At 54.1% G+C, this 22,292-nt stretch overlaps 2 protein-coding genes across 17 annotated transcripts in view, besides 3 other annotated features; one reads left to right on the top strand and one right to left on the bottom strand.

Annotated features, from left to right (window-relative positions):
• The first annotated feature begins 8,446 nt into the window (after positions 1-8,446).
• CLDN5 (claudin 5) lies at positions 8,447-10,760 on the top strand. Of its 4 annotated transcripts, none has more exons than NM_003277.4 (2): positions 8,447-8,629; positions 9,242-10,757. In NM_003277.4, the coding sequence occupies exon 2, from the start codon at positions 9,274-9,276 to the stop codon at positions 10,183-10,185; it is 912 nt and encodes a 303-aa protein (NP_003268.2). In that variant the 5' UTR covers positions 8,447-8,629; positions 9,242-9,273; the 3' UTR covers positions 10,186-10,757. The 4 variants fall into 4 exon arrangements, with proteins under 4 accessions (NP_003268.2, NP_001349996.1, NP_001124333.1 ...); NM_001363067.2 differs by having other exon boundaries at positions 8,447-8,730; NM_001130861.1 differs by having other exon boundaries at positions 8,447-10,760.
• Positions 10,759-11,691: an enhancer, noted in NCBI's record as "H3K4me1 hESC enhancer chr22:19509616-19510548 (GRCh37/hg19 assembly coordinates)". NCBI's record gives its function as "activates a minimal SCP1, AML or CMV promoter by ChIP-STARR-seq in naive H9 embryonic stem cells {active_cell/tissue: H9 hESC(naive)}" and the evidence as "EXISTENCE:reporter gene assay evidence [ECO:0000049][PMID:30033119]".
• CDC45 (cell division cycle 45) overlaps positions 13,172-22,292 on the bottom strand; it is a 41,147-nt gene continuing 32,026 nt past the window's right edge. For 5 of the 13 annotated variants that reach the window (XM_047441534.1, XM_047441532.1, XM_011530418.4 and 2 more), the window contains 6 exons: positions 18,897-19,035; positions 18,736-18,819; positions 17,139-17,257; positions 16,891-16,967; positions 14,875-14,940; positions 13,172-13,303 (listed from right to left, as the gene is read on the bottom strand). In XM_047441534.1, coding sequence (XP_047297490.1) covers positions 14,876-14,940; positions 16,891-16,967; positions 17,139-17,257; positions 18,736-18,819; positions 18,897-19,035 — 484 coding nt within the window. In that variant the 3' untranslated portion in view covers positions 13,172-13,303; position 14,875. Of the gene's footprint in view, positions 13,304-14,874; positions 14,941-16,890; positions 16,971-17,138; positions 17,258-18,735; positions 18,820-18,896; positions 19,036-22,292 lie in introns of those variants that run through there. The other 8 variants (XM_047441531.1, XM_011530417.4, XM_011530416.2 and 5 more) reach the window with 4 other exon arrangements.
• Positions 18,300-18,800: an enhancer, noted in NCBI's record as "H3K4me1 hESC enhancer chr22:19502507-19503007 (GRCh37/hg19 assembly coordinates)". NCBI's record gives its function as "activates a minimal SCP1, AML or CMV promoter by ChIP-STARR-seq in primed H9 embryonic stem cells {active_cell/tissue: H9 hESC(primed)}" and the evidence as "EXISTENCE:reporter gene assay evidence [ECO:0000049][PMID:30033119]".
• Positions 18,801-19,301: an enhancer, noted in NCBI's record as "H3K4me1 hESC enhancer chr22:19502006-19502506 (GRCh37/hg19 assembly coordinates)". NCBI's record gives its function as "activates a minimal SCP1, AML or CMV promoter by ChIP-STARR-seq in primed H9 embryonic stem cells {active_cell/tissue: H9 hESC(primed)}" and the evidence as "EXISTENCE:reporter gene assay evidence [ECO:0000049][PMID:30033119]".

The raw sequence follows: 22,292 nt of genomic DNA, 5'->3' as shown, positions 1-22,292 counted from the left end.
AAATTCTCTGTCATTTGATTCATTTTCTTCTCCAATAGGTGAGGTGTCATTTTTCTGTCTAGCTGCATTGTCTTTAGGTTTCAGAAGTTCAATTAAGATGTTTTGGGCCTGGAGCGGTGGCTGCCGCCTGTAATCCTAGCACTTTGGGAGGCTGAGGAGGCCAGATCACCTGAGCTCAGGAGTTCAAGATCAGCCTGGGCAATACGGTGAAACCCTGTCTCTACTGAAATACAAAAAAAATGAGCTGGACATGGCAGCATGTGCTTGTAGTCCCAGCTACTTGGGAGGTTGAGGCAGAAGAATCTCTTGAACCCAGGAGGCAGAGGTTGGAGTGAGCCGAGATCGTGCCACTGCACTCCAACCTGGGCGACACAGCAATAATCTGTCTCCAAAAAAAAAGATGTTTTAGTGTGGATTTCTTTGAGTTTATCATGTTTAAGGTTCCATTTAATTTTTCTCCTCTCTCTCTCTCGACAGGGGTCTCACTGTGTTGCCCAGGTTGGTCTTGAACTCCTGGGCTCAAGCGGTCCACCCATCTTGGCCCCCAAAGGTGTGAACCACCGCACCCGGCCTCACTTAACTTCTTGAATCTGTAGGGTTTTTTTCTCTCTCTTTTTCTTTTTGCTAAATTCAGGAAATTTCCAGCTATTATTTCTTTGAATGCTTTGTTAACCCCACCCCCTTTCTCCTCTCCTTTTGGCACTCTCATGACATGGATGTTAGGTCTTTTGTTATGATCTCACATTTTCTGAGCCTTTGTTTATTCTTATTTTTTCAGTGATTTTCTCTCTCTTGTTCAGATGGGATAATTGGGTTAAAATTTTGTTTTTAATAGAGACACGTCTCACTGTGTTGGCCAGTTGGTCTTTAACTCCTGGCCTCAAGCAATCCTCCTGCCTCAGCCTCCCAAACTGCTAGGATTACAGGTGTGAGCCACTGTGGCTGGCCCAGATGGGAAAATTGCACTGTTCTAGCTTCCAATTCACCAATAGTTTCCTATGTCCCTTCCATGTTGCTGTCCAGCTGATATCCAATGACCTTTTTATTATTATTATTTTTTGAGACGGAGTCTTGCTCTGTCGCCCAGGCTGGAGTGCAGTGGCGCAATCTTGGCTCACTGCAAGCTCCACCTCCCAGGTTCACGCCATTCTCCTGCCTCAGCCTCCTGAGTAGCTGGGACTACAGGTGCCCTCCACCACCCCCAGCTAATTTTTTTGTATTTTTAGTAGAGACGGGGTTTCACCTTGTTAGCCAGGATCCTGACCTCGTGATCCGCCCGCCTCGGCCTCCCAAAGTACTGGGATTACAGGCGTGAGCCACCACGCCCAGCCCCAATGACCTTTTTTTTTTTTTTTAATTTTGGTTACTGTATTTTAGTTCTAAATTTTTTTTTTTTTTTCAGAGACAGAGTCTCGCTGTGTCACCCAGGCTGGAGTACAGTGGCACGATCTCAGCTCACTGCAATCTCTGCCTCCTGGGTTCTGGAAATTCTCCTCTCTCAGCCTCCTGAGTAGCTGGGATTACAGGTGCACGCCGCCACGCCCAGCTAATTTTTTTGTATTTTAGTAGAGACAGGGTTTCACCATGTTTCCCAGGTTGGTCTCGAACTCCTGAGCTCAGGCAATGCATCTACCTCGGCCTCCCAAAGTGCTAGGATTACAGGCATGAGCCACCATGGCTGGCCTAGTTCTAAAATTTCTATGTGGTTCTTATTTCTTTGTAAGACTTTCTATATTTTCATTTGTTTCAAGCATATCTGTAATTGCTCACTGAAGCATTTTTATCATTTCTGCTTTGAAATATGAAGTAATTCTCACATCTGTGACATTGCCATCTTTGTCGATTTTCTTTCTTTCTTTCTTTTTTTTTTTTTTTGAGGCGGGGTCTTGCTCTGTTGCCCAGGAGGAGTGCAGTAGCACGATCTCAGCTCACGGCAACCTCCGCCTCCCAGGCTCAAGCTAATCTCATGCCTCAGCCTCTGGAGTAGCTGGGACTACAGGGGTGCACCACCAAGCCTGGCTAATTTTTTGTAGAGACAGGGTTTCACCATATTGGCCAGGCTGGTCTCGAACACCTGACCTCAAGCGATCTGCCCACAGCCTCCCAAAGTGCTGGGATTACAGGCATGAGCCATTGTACCTGGCCAATTTAGTTTAATATCTTACTGATACTTGGTATGATGACTTTTCTTTTTTTTTTTTTTTTTTTTTTTGAGATAGGGTCTTGATCTGTTGCCCAGGCTGGAGTGCAGTGGCATGATCTCGGCTTACTGCAGCCTCTGCCTCCCAGGTTCAAGCAATTCTCCTGCCTCAGCTTCCTGAGTAGCGGGGACTAGAGGCGTGTGCCACCATGCCTGGCTAATTTTTTTGGATTTTTAGTAGAGATGGCATTTCACCATGTTGGCCAGGATGGTCTCAATCTCCTGACCTCATGATCTGCCGGCCTCAGCCTCCCAAAGTGCTGGGTTACAGGCGTGAGACACCCCGCCCAGCCTGATGACTTATTTTCAATCAAAACTTGGATAATTTGGTTATTACAAGACTGTGGATCTTATTTAAATCTTGTATTTTAGCAAGCTTCCTCTGACACCATTCTGGCAATGACAGGGGACACTTTACTGCCAGGCAGAAGTGGAAGTCCAGGTTCTCCACCCTACCTCCATTGACACCTGGGGCCACGGGGATCCTTGTGACTGCTGGGTGGGGCTGGGAGTTCCTGCTCCCCACTCGGCCTCTTGTGATACCCCAGGCATGGATGGGAGGAATGCCTGCTGCTGATCCCCACGTGGCCTCCACTGGCACCATGTGTGGGCAGGGAGAGCCTCATCACCTCTGGAAAATGAAGAATGTCCTTACCCTCTGCTAGGTTCCTCTGACAGTACCATAGTGAGGACCTGGAGGGGGCCCTTATTACCACATTAGGAGTGGAAGTCCAGGCTCCCCATGTGGTCTCCACTGACACTGTGGTCAGGGAGGGGGACCTATTTCCACCCAAGTCTTCCTTGGCCTCCTCTGACACCCCAGTAGGAGGCTGGAGCATCTCATTACAGCCTGGCAAGGGTAGGAGTCTAAGCTCCCCACTGGTCTTTGCTATTGAGGGCAGGGTTGGGGCCACAGTTTTTTTCTGTAGTAGTATAGCTTGAGTAGAGTGGTTATTGTCTAAAATATTTTTGTCTTGTTAGTCTGTCTTTGTCCTGATCTTTTGGCTAGACAGAACCGGCTTTGCTTAGGACTTATTTTTTGCCTGTACCCATTGGTGTTTCTGGGTGGCCAGCTCCTCTGTATGCAGTCTGGGATACATGAGTCAAAAAGATAACCCAGGAGGCTGGGCATGGTGGCTCATGCCTGTCATCCCAGTGCTTTGGGAGGCTGAGGCAGGAGGATCCCTTGAGACCAGGAGTTATAAGATCAGCCTGAGCAACATTGCAAGACCGTCTCTACAAAAATTTTTTAAAAGTATTAGGTGGGTGGTGGTGCATACCTGTAGTCCCAGCTACTTGGGAGGCTGAGGTGGGAGAATCACTTGAGCCTAGGAGTTCAAAGTTGCAGTGAGCTATGGTTGTGTCCCTGCACTCCAGCCTGGGTGACAGAATGAGAACTATTTCTAAAATAAATAAATAAAATAAGAAAAAAAAAAACAAAAAGGCAACCCAGAGAAACACCACCATTTCGTCCTTGGCTCTAAGTCTCTAGCTTGTCTGCCTTCTTTGTAACACTTAGCATCTTCTTATGTTTGCTTTATTTATAACATTTAGGGTTTTTTTGTGGAAGGAATAGGGAAACATATGTTTATCTGTCTTCTAGGAAGCAGAAGTCTGTTTTGTCTTTATTTAAAAACATTTTTTTTGTTTTTGTTTTCTGAGATGGAGTCTCGCCCTGTCATGCCAGCTGGAGTGCAGTGGTGCAATCTCAGCTCACTGCAACCTCCGTCTCCTGGGTTCAAGCGATTCTCCTGCCTCAGCCTCTCAAGTAGCTGGAATTACAGGCACCTGCTACCATACATAGCTAATTTTTGTATTTTTAGTAGAGACAGGGTTTCACCATGTTGGCCAGGTTGGTCTCAAACTCCTGACCTCAGGTGATCCACCTGTCTCAGCCTCCCAAAGTGCTGGGATGACAGGCGTGAGCCACCATACCCAGCTGCCTTCATTTATTTTTTTCAGGCTCATCCATGGATGTGGTATTGCCTTCATTTTTGGAATACATTTTTGGTGAGTATAGAATTTAGGTTAAGGCTGGGCGTGGTGGCTCACGCTGTAATCCGAGCACTGGGATTGGCAAATGGATCACTTGAGCTCAGGAGTTTGAGACCAGCCTGCACAACATGGTGAAACCCCATCGCTACAAAAAATTTAAAAAACAAAAATAAAATAAAATAAATTAGCCGGGTGTGGTGGCGCACGCCTGTAGTCCTAGCTATTTGGGTGCTTGGGCGGCTGAAGCGGGAGGATCCCTTGAACCCGGAGGCTGAGGCTGCAGTGAACCATGTTTGTGCCGCTGCACTGCAGCCTCGATGACAAAGTGAAACCCGGTCTAAAAAGAAAAAAGAAAAAGAATTTTAGGTTACAGGGATTTTTTTCTTGCAGTACTTTAAAGATATTGCTACACTATCTTCTTGCTTGCACTGTTTCCAACAAGAAATCTCCTTCTTCTTGATTCCTCTGCACACAATGTGTCTTTTTCCTCTCCATGCTTTTTTTTGTTTTGTTTTTTAGACGGAGTCTCACTCTGTTGCCCAGGTTGGAGTGCAGTGACACAATCTCGGCTCACTCCAAGCTCCGCCTCCTGGGTTCACGCCATTCTCCTGCCTCAGCCTCCTGAGTAGGTGGGATTACAGGCGCCTGCCACCAAGCCCCCGGCTGATTTTTTGTGTTTTTAGTAGAGACGGGGTTTCTCCATGTTGGTCAGGCTGGTCTCGAACTCCTGACCTGAGGTGATCCGCCCGCCTCGGCCTCCCAAAGTGCTGGGATTACAGGCCTGAGCCACTGCGCCCGGCCTTTCCTCTCCATGCTTTTAAGACTTTCTCTTTAGCACCAGTTTTACGAAATTTGGTTTATGATGTACTTTGGTGGACTTTTTTTTTTTTTTGAGATGGAGTCTTGCTGTGTTGCCCAGGATGGAGTGCAATGGCATGATCTCGGCTCACTGCAACCTCTGCCTCCCAGGTTCAAGGGATTCTCCCACCTCAGCTACCCGAGTAACGGATTACAGGTGCGTGCCACCACGCCCAGCTAATTTTAGTATTTTTAGTAGAGACGGGGTTTCACCGTGTTGGACAGGCTGGTCTCAAACTCCTGACCTCAAGTGATCCGCCCACCTCGGCCTCCTGAATGGAATTACAGGCGTGAGCCACTGCGCTTGGCCTGGCTTGCCATTCTATAGAACCCTTGACCCTTCGTGGATCACACCAGAGCTCCCTGCCCCCCACTCCCTCACCCGCTGGGGAAGTTAAAGCCACAGTGACCTCCAATTCTGACTAACAGCCAGCGATGACTACCCTGAGGGGTGCGGCTGAGGTTGGATGAGCTGTGAAGGCCCTGGGAGCCTGGGTGGATGGCACTCAGGAAAGGCAGAAGAGAACCGGGACTGGCATCGGCCTCCCCTGCAGCCTCGCAGCCTCCACCATTGGGGGGCTTCGTTACCAGTGAGGAACTAAGGCAGAGAGGCCACCTCACTAGTCCAGAAAGTTTCTTGCTTGCGGGAGCGAATCTGACTCCATGCCTGTGTTTAACCACAAAGAGTAACAACAATGCCCGCAAAACCGCCGAGTCTGGCACTGTCCACTCTGGATGCTGCTCACATCGTCACAGCCGCCCAGGGGCCCCACACAGGGTGCCTCGGGCACCTGGTGCAGTGGTCAGGGATGCAGGAGGACCCCAGCTGCTGCTCTCGGCCTGCAGGAGTACTGGCTTGTGTCAAGAAAGAGCACCAGGCCACACTGTGCTTGGAGGCTCTGCAAACATTTGCGGAAATAGAAGGACACATCCTTAACTGTTTCAAAACTGAAAGATAGAAGAAACGCTGTTCTTCACTTCCCCTGAAATCAAATCTGTTAACTAGGAGTTTCCCAAACCCAAATCCCCAGGAATCTTGAGCCTAAATTTAGCTTATCCTTGGAAGGTCACGGGATTACCCTGGGGCAGGGTCAGCCAGCAGCTGCTCAAGATAAACTTGGCTTTTCTGCAGACTCAGGCTCTTCTCACACACAATTAATGAGATCCTGCCATTCTTCCCCTGGGAAAGCAGAACAATGGCTGGGGGTGAGCAGGTGGCCTTGGCCAGTGCTCTGCCCCAAGGGCCCTTTACCAGAGATCAGGGGTTTGTGTCCCTGCCTAACCAGGACACCTCCGATCTCCACCTGCAGGCCCTGGACCACTGTGGCACTGTGGACACAAGGCCGCTTCTGCCCCTTGGACGCCGAGCCCCTTCCCACCTCTGGGATCTTGCACTGGCTATTGCTTCTGCTCTGCCTGGAACTTCTTCCCCGGATCCCTGTGAAATGTCACCTCTTCAGAGAGGCCTTCACCACTGTCTTTCCTGCCCAGTTCTTGGTTGATAGGTTCCTGTCAGCTCCTTCTGGGCAGGAGCTTCTTGTGCTGTGTGCTCTGCCTAGAGACAGTGCTTGCCACGAAGTAGGTGAGCAGACCCTCCATGAGTGGCAGGAAAGGTGGGTGCACCCTCATGCCCCTCCGGAGTCTGGCCTGGGCTACTCAGAGGCCAGCCTCCATCTGAGGTGGGTTTGTCTGGGGTGGCGTCAGCCCCTGCGGCCCTCTCTGGGCCTCTCTGCATTGGCATTGTTCCACTGCAGCCTGGGGCCTCGACCAACATAGTGGGGTCAGGGTAGAAACCAGATTGTGAAAGGTGAAGCCTGAGACTCCTCTGCCACGTCCCTGAGATGCTGTGAGGCTGCCGCCAAAGAAACATGAGCTTGCTGGGGCCACCCTAGGGTGACAGCTAGGAGAGAAGAAAAACAGGCAGCCAGGTGAGAAGGGAGAGCCTTGGGCTGGCTGCAGCTCCAAGCTGGCTAGAGGGCAACAGGCAGCCTCCTGTGCAGGACAGACGCATGAAGACAGCCACCCTGTGGAGGTTATTCCTGGATACTAGGTGGGAAAGTCGGCAAGCAAAAGGACAGGTCCAGCTCAAGCTTCTAAAAGCAATGCTGGGGGACGGTGCAGCAAGGTGTTCCTGGAAATGACCTCGGCAACACATCTTAGAAGATGAGCAGGACCCAACCTGACAGATACACGCTGCGGGCAGAAGAGGCCAAGGTAAGAGACGGCCCATGTGAGGCCCATAGGCAGGTAAGTCTCCTGGGGCAGAGTGTGTGCTCAGGGCCGCACCAAGACTGGTGGCTGGACTGGCCAGTCCTAGCGCATGCAGGTACACATCAATCCAGCTGCTCTGGGAGTCGGCTCTTCGTCCATGGGCAATGTGAGCCATGGAGGGTCTTAGGTAGGGTGAGGCCCAGGAGAGGGGCCTGGTGGGGTGGGTGGCCTAGCTGGGCAAGGGCAGGTCCCTGATGACCTGAGGAGGCCGCAGCAGTCATCCCAGGAAGATGGTGGCATGGAAGGGCTGGGAGTAGGGGGATCTGGGGAAGTTCCCTGGGCTTGGGTTAGGGGGTAGTAAGAGTGAGAGGGTGGGTGGGTCAGCTGTACCCCTGGAGTACACAGAGGAGGAGATGTCCAGGAGGGTCTGTAGAGGAAGGGGCATGGCCCATGGGTCTGCAGCAGGAGGAAGGCAGTGACTAAAGTGATAGCTGGGAGAAGGCAGTGGTCCTCAGAGCCATACCTGGTGGGGAGAGGCCACGTGGGGCTGAGCAAAGAGGGTATGATTTCCTTCCAGCCTCAGGGCTGGGCACACTTGCCTTCAGAACCTCCCCACACTAGGTGAGCCAGACGCTGGCCTTATCTCATTTACCATCTCAGAGCCATCTGAAGGGGGAGAAGGGAACCGGGCCCCAGGAGGGAGAAAGTCATCAAACCTCCCACATCTGTGACCAGCCTCAGTGCCATACTTTTTCTATGGAGGGCCCTGTCCAATGGAACTGAGCACAGACCAGATAAAAGAACTGGGCACCCAGTGGCCTCAGTCCAGGGCCTGGAGTTCAAACTTTACTGGAAACAAAGGGGCCGAGAGAGACTGGGGAAAGAACTACTAGAAAGGGGCTGGTGCCCCCATGGGGCTGTGGGTTTTGGAGCCGCGTGCCCCCACCTGAGCCTCAGGGGGCCCGGAGTGTCCACACCAGTGGACCTTTCGAGAAATGGCTGGGCCATTGTGCAGAAGAATGCCCGGAAATCCCGCGCCTCCCTCCTCCAGCAAGGATGGGGGCTCTTCCTCCTGGCCAGGAAACTCCAAGTTGGCTTCCGGAGGGTGGCCTGGGGGCTGGGGTGCCAGGGACACCATCGCCACTGGTGGGAGGGCAGGGCACAGCCCCTCCGTGTCCCTTTGTCTCTCCTGTCTGAAGGCCAGAGCAGGCTGCTAGGCCTGGGGCCACCACTGCCCCTGGGTGCTACACCCAGTGTGCTGGGTCACTGGGAACTTCCTGAAGTGGTGTCACCTGAACTGGGCCCCCAAGGATGGGGTGCGGGCAGTACCGCAGGAAGAGGAGCAGCCCCTGTGAAGATTGAGAGGTCTGGGAAGCCCCTGCGGCTTGGGAGAGTGGGGGTCGCCAGGCAGGGGGAAAGCCCCTGTGCCACCGCTTTTTGCCAGAGACTCAGGCTCCAGAGAGGCAGTGAGTGGCATGGGGGGTGAGGCTGGGGCCCTGGGCCTGACCTCCACACGCCTGCCTGGCCTCTCTGTTTGCCATGGGATGAGAGAGACAGTGCTGGGACTCAGAGCGGGGCTGGAGAGTGAGAGTGCGAGAAAGGGCCTGGGTGGGGCTTGGACCCCGGGGCGGGCTTTCTGGAGAGCCCCCCTACGAGGGCCTCTACGGCGGTGACGGGGTGGGGGGCTTCTGCAAACCTTGGTCAGGGAAGTGGAGCTGGCTCGAGTGGAAGAGACCACCCGGCTCAGTCGGGGATGTGGGAGTGGACTGGGTGGTGCAGACTGGGGGTCGAGCGCCTTCTGAAGTGACGGGGCCGGGACGCGCAGGGAGGCGGCCCAAGAAGCGCGCCCTAGGCCAGCCCAGAATGCGCTCGGCCGCGACTAGGACAACGGCGGGTGGGGCTGGGGGCGGCTGCCGGGCGGGGAGCGGTCCCGCGCCCTCAGCTACCCCTCAAGAGCCGTTGTTTCCCTAACTTCAGCTGCCAGAGGCTCTGTGATTGGCTGCGGCACGATGACCCGCGCACGGATTGGCTGCTTCGGGCCGGGGGGCCGGGCCCGGGGGACAGAATCCGCCCCCGAACCTTCAAAGAGGGTACCCCCCGGCAGGAGCTGGCAGACCCAGGAGGTGCGACAGACCCGCGGGGCAAACGGACTGGGGCCAAGAGCCGGGAGCGCGGGCGCAAAGGCACCAGGGCCCGCCCAGGGCGCCGCGCAGCACGGCCTTGGGGGTTCTGCGGGCCTTCGGGTGCGCGTCTCGCCTCTAGCCATGGGGTCCGCAGCGTTGGAGATCCTGGGCCTGGTGCTGTGCCTGGTGGGCTGGGGGGGTCTGATCCTGGCGTGCGGGCTGCCCATGTGGCAGGTGACCGCCTTCCTGGACCACAACATCGTGACGGCGCAGACCACCTGGAAGGGGCTGTGGATGTCGTGCGTGGTGCAGAGCACCGGGCACATGCAGTGCAAAGTGTACGACTCGGTGCTGGCTCTGAGCACCGAGGTGCAGGCGGCGCGGGCGCTCACCGTGAGCGCCGTGCTGCTGGCGTTCGTTGCGCTCTTCGTGACCCTGGCGGGCGCGCAGTGCACCACCTGCGTGGCCCCGGGCCCGGCCAAGGCGCGTGTGGCCCTCACGGGAGGCGTGCTCTACCTGTTTTGCGGGCTGCTGGCGCTCGTGCCACTCTGCTGGTTCGCCAACATTGTCGTCCGCGAGTTTTACGACCCGTCTGTGCCCGTGTCGCAGAAGTACGAGCTGGGCGCAGCGCTGTACATCGGCTGGGCGGCCACCGCGCTGCTCATGGTAGGCGGCTGCCTCTTGTGCTGCGGCGCCTGGGTCTGCACCGGCCGTCCCGACCTCAGCTTCCCCGTGAAGTACTCAGCGCCGCGGCGGCCCACGGCCACCGGCGACTACGACAAGAAGAACTACGTCTGAGGGCGCTGGGCACGGCCGGGCCCCTCCTGCCAGCCACGCCTGCGAGGCGTTGGATAAGCCTGGGGAGCCCCGCATGGACCGCGGCTTCCGCCGGGTAGCGCGGCGCGCAGGCTCCTCGGAACGTCCGGCTCTGCGCCCCGACGCGGCTCCTGGATCCGCTCCTGCCTGCGCCCGCAGCTGACCTTCTCCTGCCACTAGCCCGGCCCTGCCCTTAACAGACGGAATGAAGTTTCCTTTTCTGTGCGCGGCGCTGTTTCCATAGGCAGAGCGGGTGTCAGACTGAGGATTTCGCTTCCCCTCCAAGACGCTGGGGGTCTTGGCTGCTGCCTTACTTCCCAGAGGCTCCTGCTGACTTCGGAGGGGCGGATGCAGAGCCCAGGGCCCCCACCGGAAGATGTGTACAGCTGGTCTTTACTCCATCGGCAGGGCCCGAGCCCAGGGACCAGTGACTTGGCCTGGACCTCCCGGTCTCACTCCAGCATCTCCCCAGGCAAGGCTTGTGGGCACCGGAGCTTGAGAGAGGGCGGGAGTGGGAAGGCTAAGAATCTGCTTAGTAAATGGTTTGAACTCTCTCCCACCTGTGTCCTGTTCTCTGTCCAGCCATCTTCCGTGTCCAGCAGCCCCATTCATCACCCACCAGCCCCGCCCTCCCAAGGACTCCTGTGGAGACCTCCTCCCAGGGCTGGAGGCTGGGGCTCTTTTCCCCATCCTCCCTGCCACCTTCCCACCAGGTGGGAGACACAGCCACCACTTACTACAGCCCAGAAAGGCGGGATCTGCGGTCAGAAGAGCTGCTGCGTCATGGGGCCCTGGGGCCCGGGATGGGACAGGGGCGGGGGCAGCGGCAGACCCCAGCAGAAGATGCGGGGTGAAGCGCCCTCAACACAGGCTGGTGAGTGGGGGTCCTGCGGTGTGGGAAGTGCTGGGGGTGAGCAGCCAGGCCGCTGGCTTCTCCCAGAAAGGGCCAAGCCCCACACAGCACAGGGTGAGGTTTTCCACTGCCCTCTCAGGGCTTGCCTAGTCCCAAGCCCCATCAAGTGGCCACAGAGGTCTGTAGAATCCCCGACCAGGCCCTTTCCAATGGTGGGTGGGGCAGGAACAGGGGTGAATGCAGGACACGCCGGTCAACAGTAGGGTTGCCATGGGAGGAGGTGCTGGCAGCTGGTTGCCTGGAGTACCACAGCTTGGCTCTAGCCCCTCGTCCTGGCTCCTCTGCCAGTCCCAGCGCAGCTCCCTACAGAGCCTGTACCCACCCTGCTGGCCTGGCAGCCTGCCCAGAATGGTGCTCACAACCAGCACCTGTGCCAGCCCCTGCTGGGGGCACTCTGGGTAACCTTCCTCCTCCAGGGGCTGTGTGGCCTGGGAGTCAGTGCTGGCCCCTGCCAGGCACCTCGGAATGGGGGTGTCTAGAGCCATCTAACATAGCCACTGAGAGCTCACTGTTTTTAGCCTTGTTCTAGGCACTTTGAATTAACACATTTTTGACATTTGACATAAAGCTAGAAGCAGAAGAGAGCAGCTGATGAAGGGGGCATGCTGCAGGGAAGAGCTCTAAGCCCAGCCGGAAGGGAGACTTGGTATCTGCCCCAAACTGGACTTGGGGGCCCTGCCCAGAAATGTCTGGGCCACATCCAGTGGCAGGGAGTCTCCTAGGTCTGGCCAGGCTACCATCATGGAGCAGTGGGAGAACCCCAAGAATGCAGGCTCAGAGTGGCTTAGGGCAGCTGCTGGAATGTGTGGCAGCTTCCTGGGAGCTGCTGTGGAACCAGCCGGTGGGATGAGTTACAGGGAGAGGGGCCCCACGGTGCAGAGGTCCTCAGCAGGCCTGACCTGTACCCCACCTGGGCCTGTACAACAGGGACCAAGAATAGTCCCCAAGCTTGGGAGTGTGTGATCCCAGAGCTGTGGCCCTGGGCAGAGCCAAAAACAATGGTCCTTACACTCTTGCACCTGGCCACCGGGACTGGGTAGTACCAGGTCTGGTGTGTTTGGTCAGAAGCTGAGGCCCAAGGCTGCCTGGGAGGGCATTCCTAAGAAAGCCTTTTCCTAAGAAAGGACAGGCACGGGGCTGGGCACGGTGGCTCACGCCTGTAATCCCAGCACTTTGGAAGGCCGACGTGGGCGGATCACAGGGTCAGGACATCAAGACCATTCTGGCCAACGTGGTGACACCCGTCTGTACTAAAAATACAAAAATTAGCTGGGCGTGGTGGTGTGTGCCTGTAATCCCAGCTACTCGGGAGGCTGAGACAGGAGAACCACTTGAACTCGGGAGGCAGAGGTTGCAGTGTGCCGAGATCGCACCAACTGCACTCTAGTCTGGTGACAGAGCGAGACTCTGTCTCAAAAAAAGGAAAGAAAGGGCATGGAAAGGAAGCTGCACAGCCTTTGAATTTTCCCAAATGGCCAGGGTAGGCAGCTCAAGGGTCCCGGGAAGCTGTGCAAACCACCAGAGGTGAGGGGAGGGGCCCAGCCTCCAGTCCAGCTCTCACCCTTTTGTGCCCACTGCCCTTTGCCAAGGGCTGCACCAAGACCAGCCCCACCTACCTGTGTGCTCTTTTCCAGGCCACTCTTTCTGAGCTTTTCCCCACTGACTTAAAACCTACCCAAATCACTCCTGCCTTCAAAGACCTGGAAAAGAGTGCTGGATGGTGAGACCCACAGGTGGAGGGATGGCTGAGAGGGTGGACTTGCTATGTGGCTGAGGCCAGGTGGACCAGAGGAAGTGGTAGGTGGACAGAGCCAGGTGCTGGCTGGCACCACCAGGCAGTGGCCGGTGCAGGTGCTATGAGGAGGCGGGGATGCCGAGGGGTCCTGACCTCTGTCCACTGCCACCCGGAGGGCCTGGAGGACAGAGTAAGGAGATCTTGTCCTTGGGGCCAATCCCCATGCTGATTTCCTGCCAGGCACTGAGGGCTCCTGGGGCCCAAGACCCACAGAAGGCTCAGAGCACACTCAAGCACTGGCCTCGAGACCAGAGCCACAATGGGGACGGAGCCTAAAATAAGCATTTTATTTAATAAAAAATGGCTTCTACATCTCAAATCATGTCCATAACTTACAATCTAAATGAAAGCCAGTTACATAAATAAGAAGGTCATTCTGGAAGAATCAAATTCTAGAAAACAAAACAAGAAAAAACAAGTTTCAAACGATGTTGATGTGCCACCGAATTGAAGAAACTGCCCAGGCGTCCCCTCTGGGTAGTGCTGCTGAGTAGCCAGGACTGCTTGTGGGGGTGAGGCCACCCCAGACTCGGAGGCCCCTGCTGTCCTCATAGCACCCCTTGACTGGGCTGAGCTGTCCTACATCAGAGCTCCTGCCCCCTGGCCCGGGCACCTTCTTACCTCACGGACCCCGCCCAGCTGCTCAGCCAGCCCCCTGGCACCCTCCCATGGGGGCTCTCCCTCCATCCCTCGGCACTCTGCTGCTCAGCCCTCCTAGCCCAGGCCACCTGTGCCCCTGCCTCAGTGGAAGGACACACAGCAGCATAACATCACCACCAAGCAGGCTGCAGGGGAGGGGTTTGCCTCTAGCACCCACTCCACTGCCAGAGAGCCCCACCTCTGCCTCCGCCCCACCCTATGCAGTCCTGTGATGCTCACACTCATCGTCTAAGGAGAGAGTGGGCCCCATTTTTGGATGAGGAAACAGGCTAAGCCTGATTAGGTGGCTGGCCCAAGGTCACTGCTGATGACCCTACAGAACTTGCCAAAAACCCCGAGGGTCTGACTCAGAGCCCCGCGCCCAAAATGGGCCCCATGTAGCCCAGGCCACCCTGAGAGGAACTGTGGGGTCCCTGAGGCCCCCTATGCTGTTGTCAGCAGAAACCCCCACTCCAGCCCCAACAGGAGAACAGGTGCTTGCCCCTGGAGGGATGGACAGATGGATGGATGGACGGACGGATGGGAGAGTGGGGAGGACCCCAGGCCTGGCCTGAGGGACCTCCTGCAACAGAGTCTTGGCAGGGCCCATCTGCCACAGCCGCAGCCTCCAGGCTAGGGCTCTGGGAGATGCAGGGCTGGATGTGGCATTCCCTGTGGGGAACCTGGGCTGAGAGATGGTTACAAAGACACAAGGCAGGCCTATTTCCTGGGAACCCTTAAGAAAGAGGTAGCACATGGGGCAGTGGGAGGTGTCCCGGGACAGTGACCTGCCAGTGAATCCCAATGGGGCCCTCAGGACAGCTGTGTGCTGGTGAAGGCCCCAGCAGAACCAGCGCTTTGGAATTCCCAGCTAAGCGGCTGCCAACAGCTTTGCTTTCTCATGAGCCAAGCACACAAAAGCCCGGATGGCTGCTCTGCGGGCTCTTGCCCAGCGCCTGACACGAAGGCTGTGGGACAGGAGGCTCCAGGTGGCCTTCGAGGGCAGCACCAGGGAGTCTGTGTGTGACATGTGTCACACGCGATGCCCAGCCCAAGTGTGGTCAGCAGAGGGTGAATACCAGCTCTTTCTGAAGGGATCGCAGGGGCTTAATGAAATTAGCTGCCTCAAAATGCCCCATTGTGGCCCTGCTGGCAGCCTAAGGACAGATGTGCTTGGGAAAAATGTGTTGGCTCCAATCTCAAGAACCCTGCTTCGGTCTGAAACCCAAGTAGAAGCCTCCGTTGAGGGAGGACAGAGCAGGGCATCAGGGTCGGGCTCTGAGGGGGCTGCTGCAGCCACCCCTGCAGAACCCCTGTAACTCACCCTAGGACAGGAGGGAAATAAGTGCGTCCAGAAACTTGCTCCGATCCTCAGCTTTCAGCTCAATTACTGAAGTAATGAAAGAAAAACAGCCGTGAGAAGGGAGGAGTGGGAACACAAGACAGGGCACAGAACTCCCCTCCGCTGCCTGCCCTCCACTGCATTCCAAAGTGCGCGGCTCCTCCCGGCCTGTGGTATTCTGCACTCAGTGGTTGTGTCTGTCTCACTGTACTTCATCTTCACAACTGCTGTCTGCACTGCTAGAGAGGTCAGGGTTGGGGCCTGCAGGGAGAACTCCCCCCCGGGAAGACAATAGAGGTGACACAGGGAAGGGCCCTACAGACCTGGACAAACACGGGCCTGCCCACCCCAGCTGGCATGAACCCCCGTCCCCAGAGTGGGTTGTGGAAGTCCTTGGGTGGGGCAGGTCACTTTTGGCCGCACTCTGGCCAATTCCTCGGCTTCAGTGTTCTCTTCCGCACAAGGGGACATGGTGCAAACTGCCCATATCTCACAGGGCCCTCAGGCTCAGCTGAGCACCCAGACCCTCACCACAAAGCAAAACCAGGCCCCAGGATGGGGCTGGCCTGGCCCTGGGAGCCATCTATGCTGCCAGCCACAGCCCCGAGAGCCCCAGACCCAGCCCACGCAGGTGGGCACTAGACATGGCCCACTCTGCACCCTCACCCCTGGCTCTCCACCCTCAGGGAAACCAAGCAGTTCCCAGCCCGAGTCCTCCCTGTATACTGAAGGCCAGATATTCTGCAGGCCAGTGGGTGTCCATCCACCTCTCCCACATCACAGGCACAAAAGAGTTAGCAGGGGCTGCTGTGCGGGGTGAACCAATGCCACACAGTGCCACAGCCATGGCTGGGTCTGGCTCAAGGAAGGCAGCTCTGAGATGGCTGACGCCACTTCAACAAAGGCTGGATCTCCCATGACAGTGTCTATCATTGTTGAGGAATCCGTGGTGATGAGGCAAGAAAATATCCTTTCTCAGAGGTGCAGGAAGTACTGAGGGTGTTATGAGCTGAACGGTCTCCCCCACATCTCTATGTTGAAGCCCTTACCCCCAGGACCTTAGAATGTGACTATGGTAATTAAGTTCAAATGTGGTTGTTAGGGTGGGCTCTAATCCAATCTGTCTGGTGTCCTTGGAAGATGAAACGGTTTGGACACAGACACCAAGGAGGTATGCAGAGGAAAGACCACGTGAGGACACAGTGAGAAGGTGGTCATCTGTGTGAGCCAAGGAGAGAGGCCTGAGGAGAAGCCAGCCCTGCCCCACCTTGACCTGGGCCTTCTCGCCTCTAGGACTGGGAGGAGACACGTGGTTGAAGCCACCCTGTCTGTGGCACTTTGTTATGGCAGCTTTAGCAAACTAACCCGGGGTGAAATATCAATACGTCTGTTTTACTTTAAAACCTGTCAACAATAATAAGAACGCCAACACAGCCGAATGTGAACCATGTTCCGTGCTGGTGCTGGGGAAGCAGTGGGCAGGCAGGCCTATCCATTCTGGGCTCATCTGACACACAGGTGGGGCCGGTGTCCCAGCCATCTCACAGGTAGCACCTATCACGACACACACCCCGGCCTGTGGAGAGGTGGCTGGCGCAGCAAGGGTTGGTGTCCTGGGTCATCACGGGCCCTGCTGTTCCCTCACCCCATGAAACAGAAACAACCCAACCCTGACAGGTGAGATCGGGGCACACGGGCCCTGGTGGCCAGTCCCCTAGGCTTGCTGGGAAAGTGATCCTTAGCACTGGCTGTAAGGCCGCTGTAAGGCCACAGCCAGGCCAGTCATTCCCTGGAAAACACTTTTTCCCTCTCAGGGGCCTGAGGTTCACCAGAGCTCCCTGAGCCACCAGGAGTAGCCTGTCCCAGGGCCAGATCTGGAAGGTCAAGAGGGCTGCTGGCCAGGCTCCTCCAGCCATGCCAACTTGCTTGGTTCCAGGGCCTGCAATAGCCTCAAAGGGTCAGGTGGGAAAGTGTGGCAGAGTGGCAGGAGACTCTCACCTGAGAGGTCAAAATGGTTGTGCAGCATCCGGGAGCTGGTGCTTTCCGCTGCCTTCTCAAACGCCCTCCCAAAAAAGCTGCTGACACACAAGACATGTCGGGGGCCAGGCGGCCTGCAATGGACCCTTCCCACCCCCCGCCCCAGGACAGACACTAGAGGCAAATACCACTCTACTCAGCAGGGCTAATAAGCTGATAACCCCAACACCCCCGACCCTCCAGTCCCAGGACGAGTGGAAGCTGCTCACTTCTTCCTGTCCGAGCTGTCGGTCTCTGGGGGGATGCCCACCACGGTCACTGTGCCATGCTCCATGCTCAGGGGGGCAGCCATCACCAGGGGCAGCAGTTTGCAGCGCCGGTTCTTTGTCTATGGAGTCGGAGAGCACCCTCCGTCAGGGTATGGTGGGCCCCAGCTCAACACTCAGAGCCCAGAGCCCAACAGCGCCCAGTCACTCCACTCCCCAAAGCCTCCAGGGACGCTGTCACCAGGAGACGCCTTGGTCCCCACCCAGCCACCCCAAGTTAGATGCCCAAGGCCAGTGTCTAACTCCCAGTCCAGGGAGCTCTCCAAACACCTGCCCTCCCGTACCCACAGCATGGTACTGTGGCTGTGATGCTGTGTCCCCGAGCCTCCTTGTCTACCAGCCTAGCCCCACTGCCCCTTGGCTGTTTGTTGCAAGGAGCCTGCCCTGCTATCCTCTCCCTCACCTCCTTCAGGTCCTGCAGCAGCTGCCACCTTCTCCAGGAGGCCCCAGCCCACCCCGCCTCATCCTGCTCCATCCCCTGGCAGCACATCCCCTCATCTTAACCGCAGCTGCCACTCCTCGTCCCCCCCGCCGGCACGCTCCTTCAGGATAAAGGTTTAGGGTTTCCTTCTCTGCTGTGCCTGCTGCACCCACACCCTACAGCCCAGGTGACCAGTATTCCTGGTGTGTCTAGGACTGAGGGGTGTCCCAGGATGTGCACCAGGATGGGCAGTCACTCCACAACAGGGCCGGGCAGGTGGTGGATGTTCAATACATGTCTGGTAAATGAATGGATCCTGTAAAGTGGGTATGTGTTCACCCATTTCACGGATGAGGAAACTGAGGATCAGGTCAGATCATCTACCTCACGTCACACAACTGGCAAATGAGGAGGCTCATCTTTGAACACAGCCTAGAGGACGTCAAGGCCCATGCTCTGTCCCTAGTTTATCTTTGACATTACCTGGTTGATAGAACACATGTCATCTGTCATCATTTTACTGGTTAGTTCAGCGGCAAAAGAAAAGTTCAACTTCCTGTTAGCACATTTTGTTTGAAATAGCCCCCGGCATAAACTCTCATCCTCGAAGCAGAGGAGGACTTCAATTATTGACATGTCACATCTGGGAGGAGCCCCATGTCGGCTAGGTGAGGACCCCTGCCCTAAAGCCAGCCAAGTTAGGAGTGTGTTCCACGCCAACGCAAAGAGGGGGTTAGGCCACACAGAAGACAAAGCCAGGCACAGGAAATCAGCTTAGTGGACAAGCTGTTGCTGGGAAGCCAGTCGGTGCTACAACCATCCCGCTTTCCCTGACCTGCAACAATAGGACACAAGCCCCAGCCCTGTTCACTCTGCAAGGGCCCCTCCCTACTTGTCTGAGTGACTTAGACAGCCAGTGATGAATCAGAGCTTGAGAGAACTGGAAGGTTCCTAGGGGTCAGCTGAGAAAAAGACAGCTCAGAAAAAGTAATGGATGTGCCTAGACCTTGCAGCTGGTCAACAGCCACAGGCACCCCAAGGCCAGCATCTAACTCCCCATCCAGGGAGCTCTCCAAGCACCTGCCCTCCTGTACCCACAGCACCCGCCTGGCCCCTCACCGAACACACAAAGGACTTGAGCAGGTGTTTGCTGAGCAGGCTTAGGGATGCCGGCCTAGAGAACAGCATGACATCTGGAGTGCCCTGCGGAGGCGAGACAGATGGTCAGACGAAGCCACTGGTGCTGTGACCAGGCGCCTGTGCTCTGTGGGAAGCCTGACCTCCATGAGAGAGCAGTACAGGAAAGGCCCCTGGGAGATGACGAGGTTGGTGCAAAGGCAGCTGGCAATGGTCTGCTGGGTGGCTCGCAGCTGCTTCTTGGCGAGTTCCAGGCCATGGTACAGCTTGTCCAGGTTACTCCTGTAACAGGGCAGACACATGGCTTTGGTGGTGCTTGTCAGGAACTCTTGGTAAAATACCAAAGTCACAAATAGTTTGCTTGGTTCCTGGTTCAGGAAGAGGTTTGGGGGTAAGAATTTATCTTCTTTCCCTCCTGAGTTGTCTTTCACATGAAAGGAAAGAATTTTTTAAAATGTATAAACCCACAGTAATGCAAATGAGAGGTGGAGCGGGTGCAAGTATCAGAAGACAGGAAACTAAAAGCCAACAAAGGGAAGATCCTGAAGGCCCAGGAGGACTCTGACACAGGGGAGGCTTGGGCAAGGGCTGGAGGTTGGACAAGGGATCCCCTCAAACCCAACAGATAGATTTTTACTCTTCCCCACAAAAAGGGAGGCTCCCCTCTGAGTATATGAAATGTACCATCTGTGAATAAGTAGAATCCTCAAGCAAAGCCTCTGGGCCCTACAGTGGGGAGTCCCAAAGTGTCACAGTTGGCTCCTGCCTGCTAAGGTGAAACGATGTCTTATGACCAGTGAGCTGTGCCCAGATACCCATGGCCCAGCCAAGGGTCCACAATCCCGTTCTTGAATATGAAAGACATCAGACCATTTGAGAAATGCCTATGGCCTAAAAAAATAACCCTGAAGAAACAGATAATTTGGAGAACTAAAGAAAGTTAAACTGAACTCTAATTAGTATCTTCAGAGAGATGTGTGCAACTCTTACATTCCTAAACCAAGAACAGGATGCTATGAAAAAGGAAGAGTTAAAAACTAGGAAATGTTGATGGAAATTAAAACAGTTGCAAAAGATAAAACATCCACTCCAAGTCTGGAGTCAAGAAAAACTTCCTCAACATAGATAACAAGACAAAGCTATGGAAAATGTAAGGCAAAAAAATAAGACAGAGCATCGTCATTCCAGGAAGCCTGAAAAGCAAGAATAAAAAACACGGATGTTTTCTGTGGGGGGAATAGTAAAGAAATAGTAAAATAAAGATATTGTCAGATATATAAGAACTCAGAAAGTTTATCTCACATGCGCCCTTTCTTTGAATGTTACTTAAGAACTGTGCTCTAATTTAATGAGGGAGTAAATGAAACAAAGATGAAGATCCCAAGAAACATTGGACTAAACTAAGAGGCACAGCCAAGATTTGGACATCCATGGGGACAGTGGAAAGCAGGTCTAGAGAGCTGTAGGTCCAGGCTGTGGTGGGAAGACAGAACCCCAGACTCTCCAGCAAAAAGGGGCTCACAGAAAAACAGCTGGAAGGAGTTTGGAGGAGAAAAAAATGGATGTGATAAAGGAGGCAATTAAAAACAGCAGGAAAAACAAAGAGCCGTGCCAGATAGTAATCTATTACTACACATGATTGTCTCTGGAATAGTTTATTAGCACAATAAAGTAAAACTATTTGTTTACTTTCAACTTTTAAAATCAACCTGTAACCAAAGATAAGACAATTTATATCTTTTTCTCTAACCCAAGATTGTTATCAGTCTTGAAAACGTAAAAGCACAAATTTCAGAAAGTACTGAGCAGCACTGAAGAGCAAAGTAAGGCTGTTTCTACACCTTGGACATTTGTCCCCTCAAAACCTCATGTTGAAATCTGATCCAAGATCTTCGAGGTGGGGTCTAGTGGGAAGTGTTGGGTCATGGGTGCAGACCCCTCATGAATAGATGAATGCTCTCCCTGGGGCTAGGGGGTGTAAGTGAGTTCTTACTCTATTAGTTCCCGTGACGGTTGTTAAAAAGAGCCTAGTACCTTCCTCCTCTCTCTTCCTTCCTCCATTGCCACATGGTCTCTGCACCCACCAGCTCCCCTTCTGCCATGAGTGGAAGCAGCCTGAGGCCCTCACCAGATGCAGATGCCCAATCTTGAGCATTCCAGCCATCAGAATTATGAGGCAAATAAACCTTTTCTCTTTATAAATTACTCAGCCTCAGGTATTCCTTTATAGCAACACAAAATGGACTAAGAGTGTTTTAAATATCCTTTTCTTACAAAGTAGGGAGACGAGATACTAGTGATGAAAGAAGACATAAATATGTTAAAGTTACAAAGAAGTTAAAAATAGTGGCAAAACTGTACCAACAGGAGGGAAGGTGGACAAGAGTGGGATAAATGCTCCTTTGTCATAGCAGGAAGTTGGTAGACAATGTCTAAAGCCTACCCATCAATGCTGGGATGATGGCAGCAACAGTGGTAAAATAGTTTTTGGATTTTCCCAAATTTCTAGATAAAAGTAGAGCAACTAGATTGCAAAACCAAAAACCTAGGACCCACATTTGCAACAAATTAAGAGAACAAGGGAACACTTCAAACCCCAAAGTGTAAGCAGGTAAAAAGAGACCATGAACAGCCAGACAGGTATACTATCTACATCAGTGCGAGAGAAAGCCAAGAGGTAGTGAGACCTAAGAAGACTTAAAACTCCAGGCAACTGGAGAGCAGCGGCCCAAACTGAGAGTTTTGCCCTATGCAAGAGCAGGTGAGTGCAGTGGGCCAAGGGAAAGTTTAAGGAGCCTCCCTGGAGTGCAAGGAGTCCTGGTAATGAGCAAGGGGTCCTGTTAAACAGCAAGGGAGCCTGGTAAAGTATAAGGGGGCATGGTAAAGAGCAAGGGGCCTTGCTGAAGTGTAAGGAGACTATAGTAAAGAGTAAGGGGCCCAGCCTGACCAACATGTCTCTACAAAAAATACAAAAATTAGCCAGGTGCAGTGGCACATGCCTGTAGTCCCAGCTACCTGGGAGGCAGAGGTTGCAGTGAGTGGAAATCATGCCACTGCATGCCAGCTTAAGTGACAGAGTAAGACCCTGTCTCAAAAAAAAAAAAAAAAAAAACCTCCAGTGAATCATACTCCTAATGTAAGGGCTAAAACTATTAAAGTGTTAGTAGAAAAAATAATGTGAAATCTTCATGACCTTGGGTTAGGCAATGGTTTCTTAGATATGACACCAAAAGCACAAGAAACAAAAGAAAAAGTAGGTAACTTAAATGTCATCAAAATTAACAAATCTTATACTTCACAGGACACTGCCAAAGTGAAAAGTCAGCCTACAGAATGGGAGAAAATACTTGCAAATTACTTATCTGATAAGGGATTTGTATGTAGAATATATAAAAGTTTTAGGCTGGGCACGGTGGTTCATACCTATAATCCCAGTGCTTTGGGAGGCCAAGGCTGGAAGACTGCTTGAGCCCAGGAGTTTGAGACCAGCCTGAGCAACATGGTAAGATCTCATCTCTACTAAAAATTTAAAAATTAGC

This window comes from Homo sapiens, chromosome 22 (assembly GCF_000001405.40).
Source record: "Homo sapiens chromosome 22, GRCh38.p14 Primary Assembly".
Taxonomy (NCBI): Eukaryota; Metazoa; Chordata; class Mammalia; order Primates; family Hominidae; genus Homo; species Homo sapiens.
The sequence above is the reverse complement of the archived record's forward strand: the minus strand, read 5'-3'. Positions and strand labels throughout refer to the sequence as shown.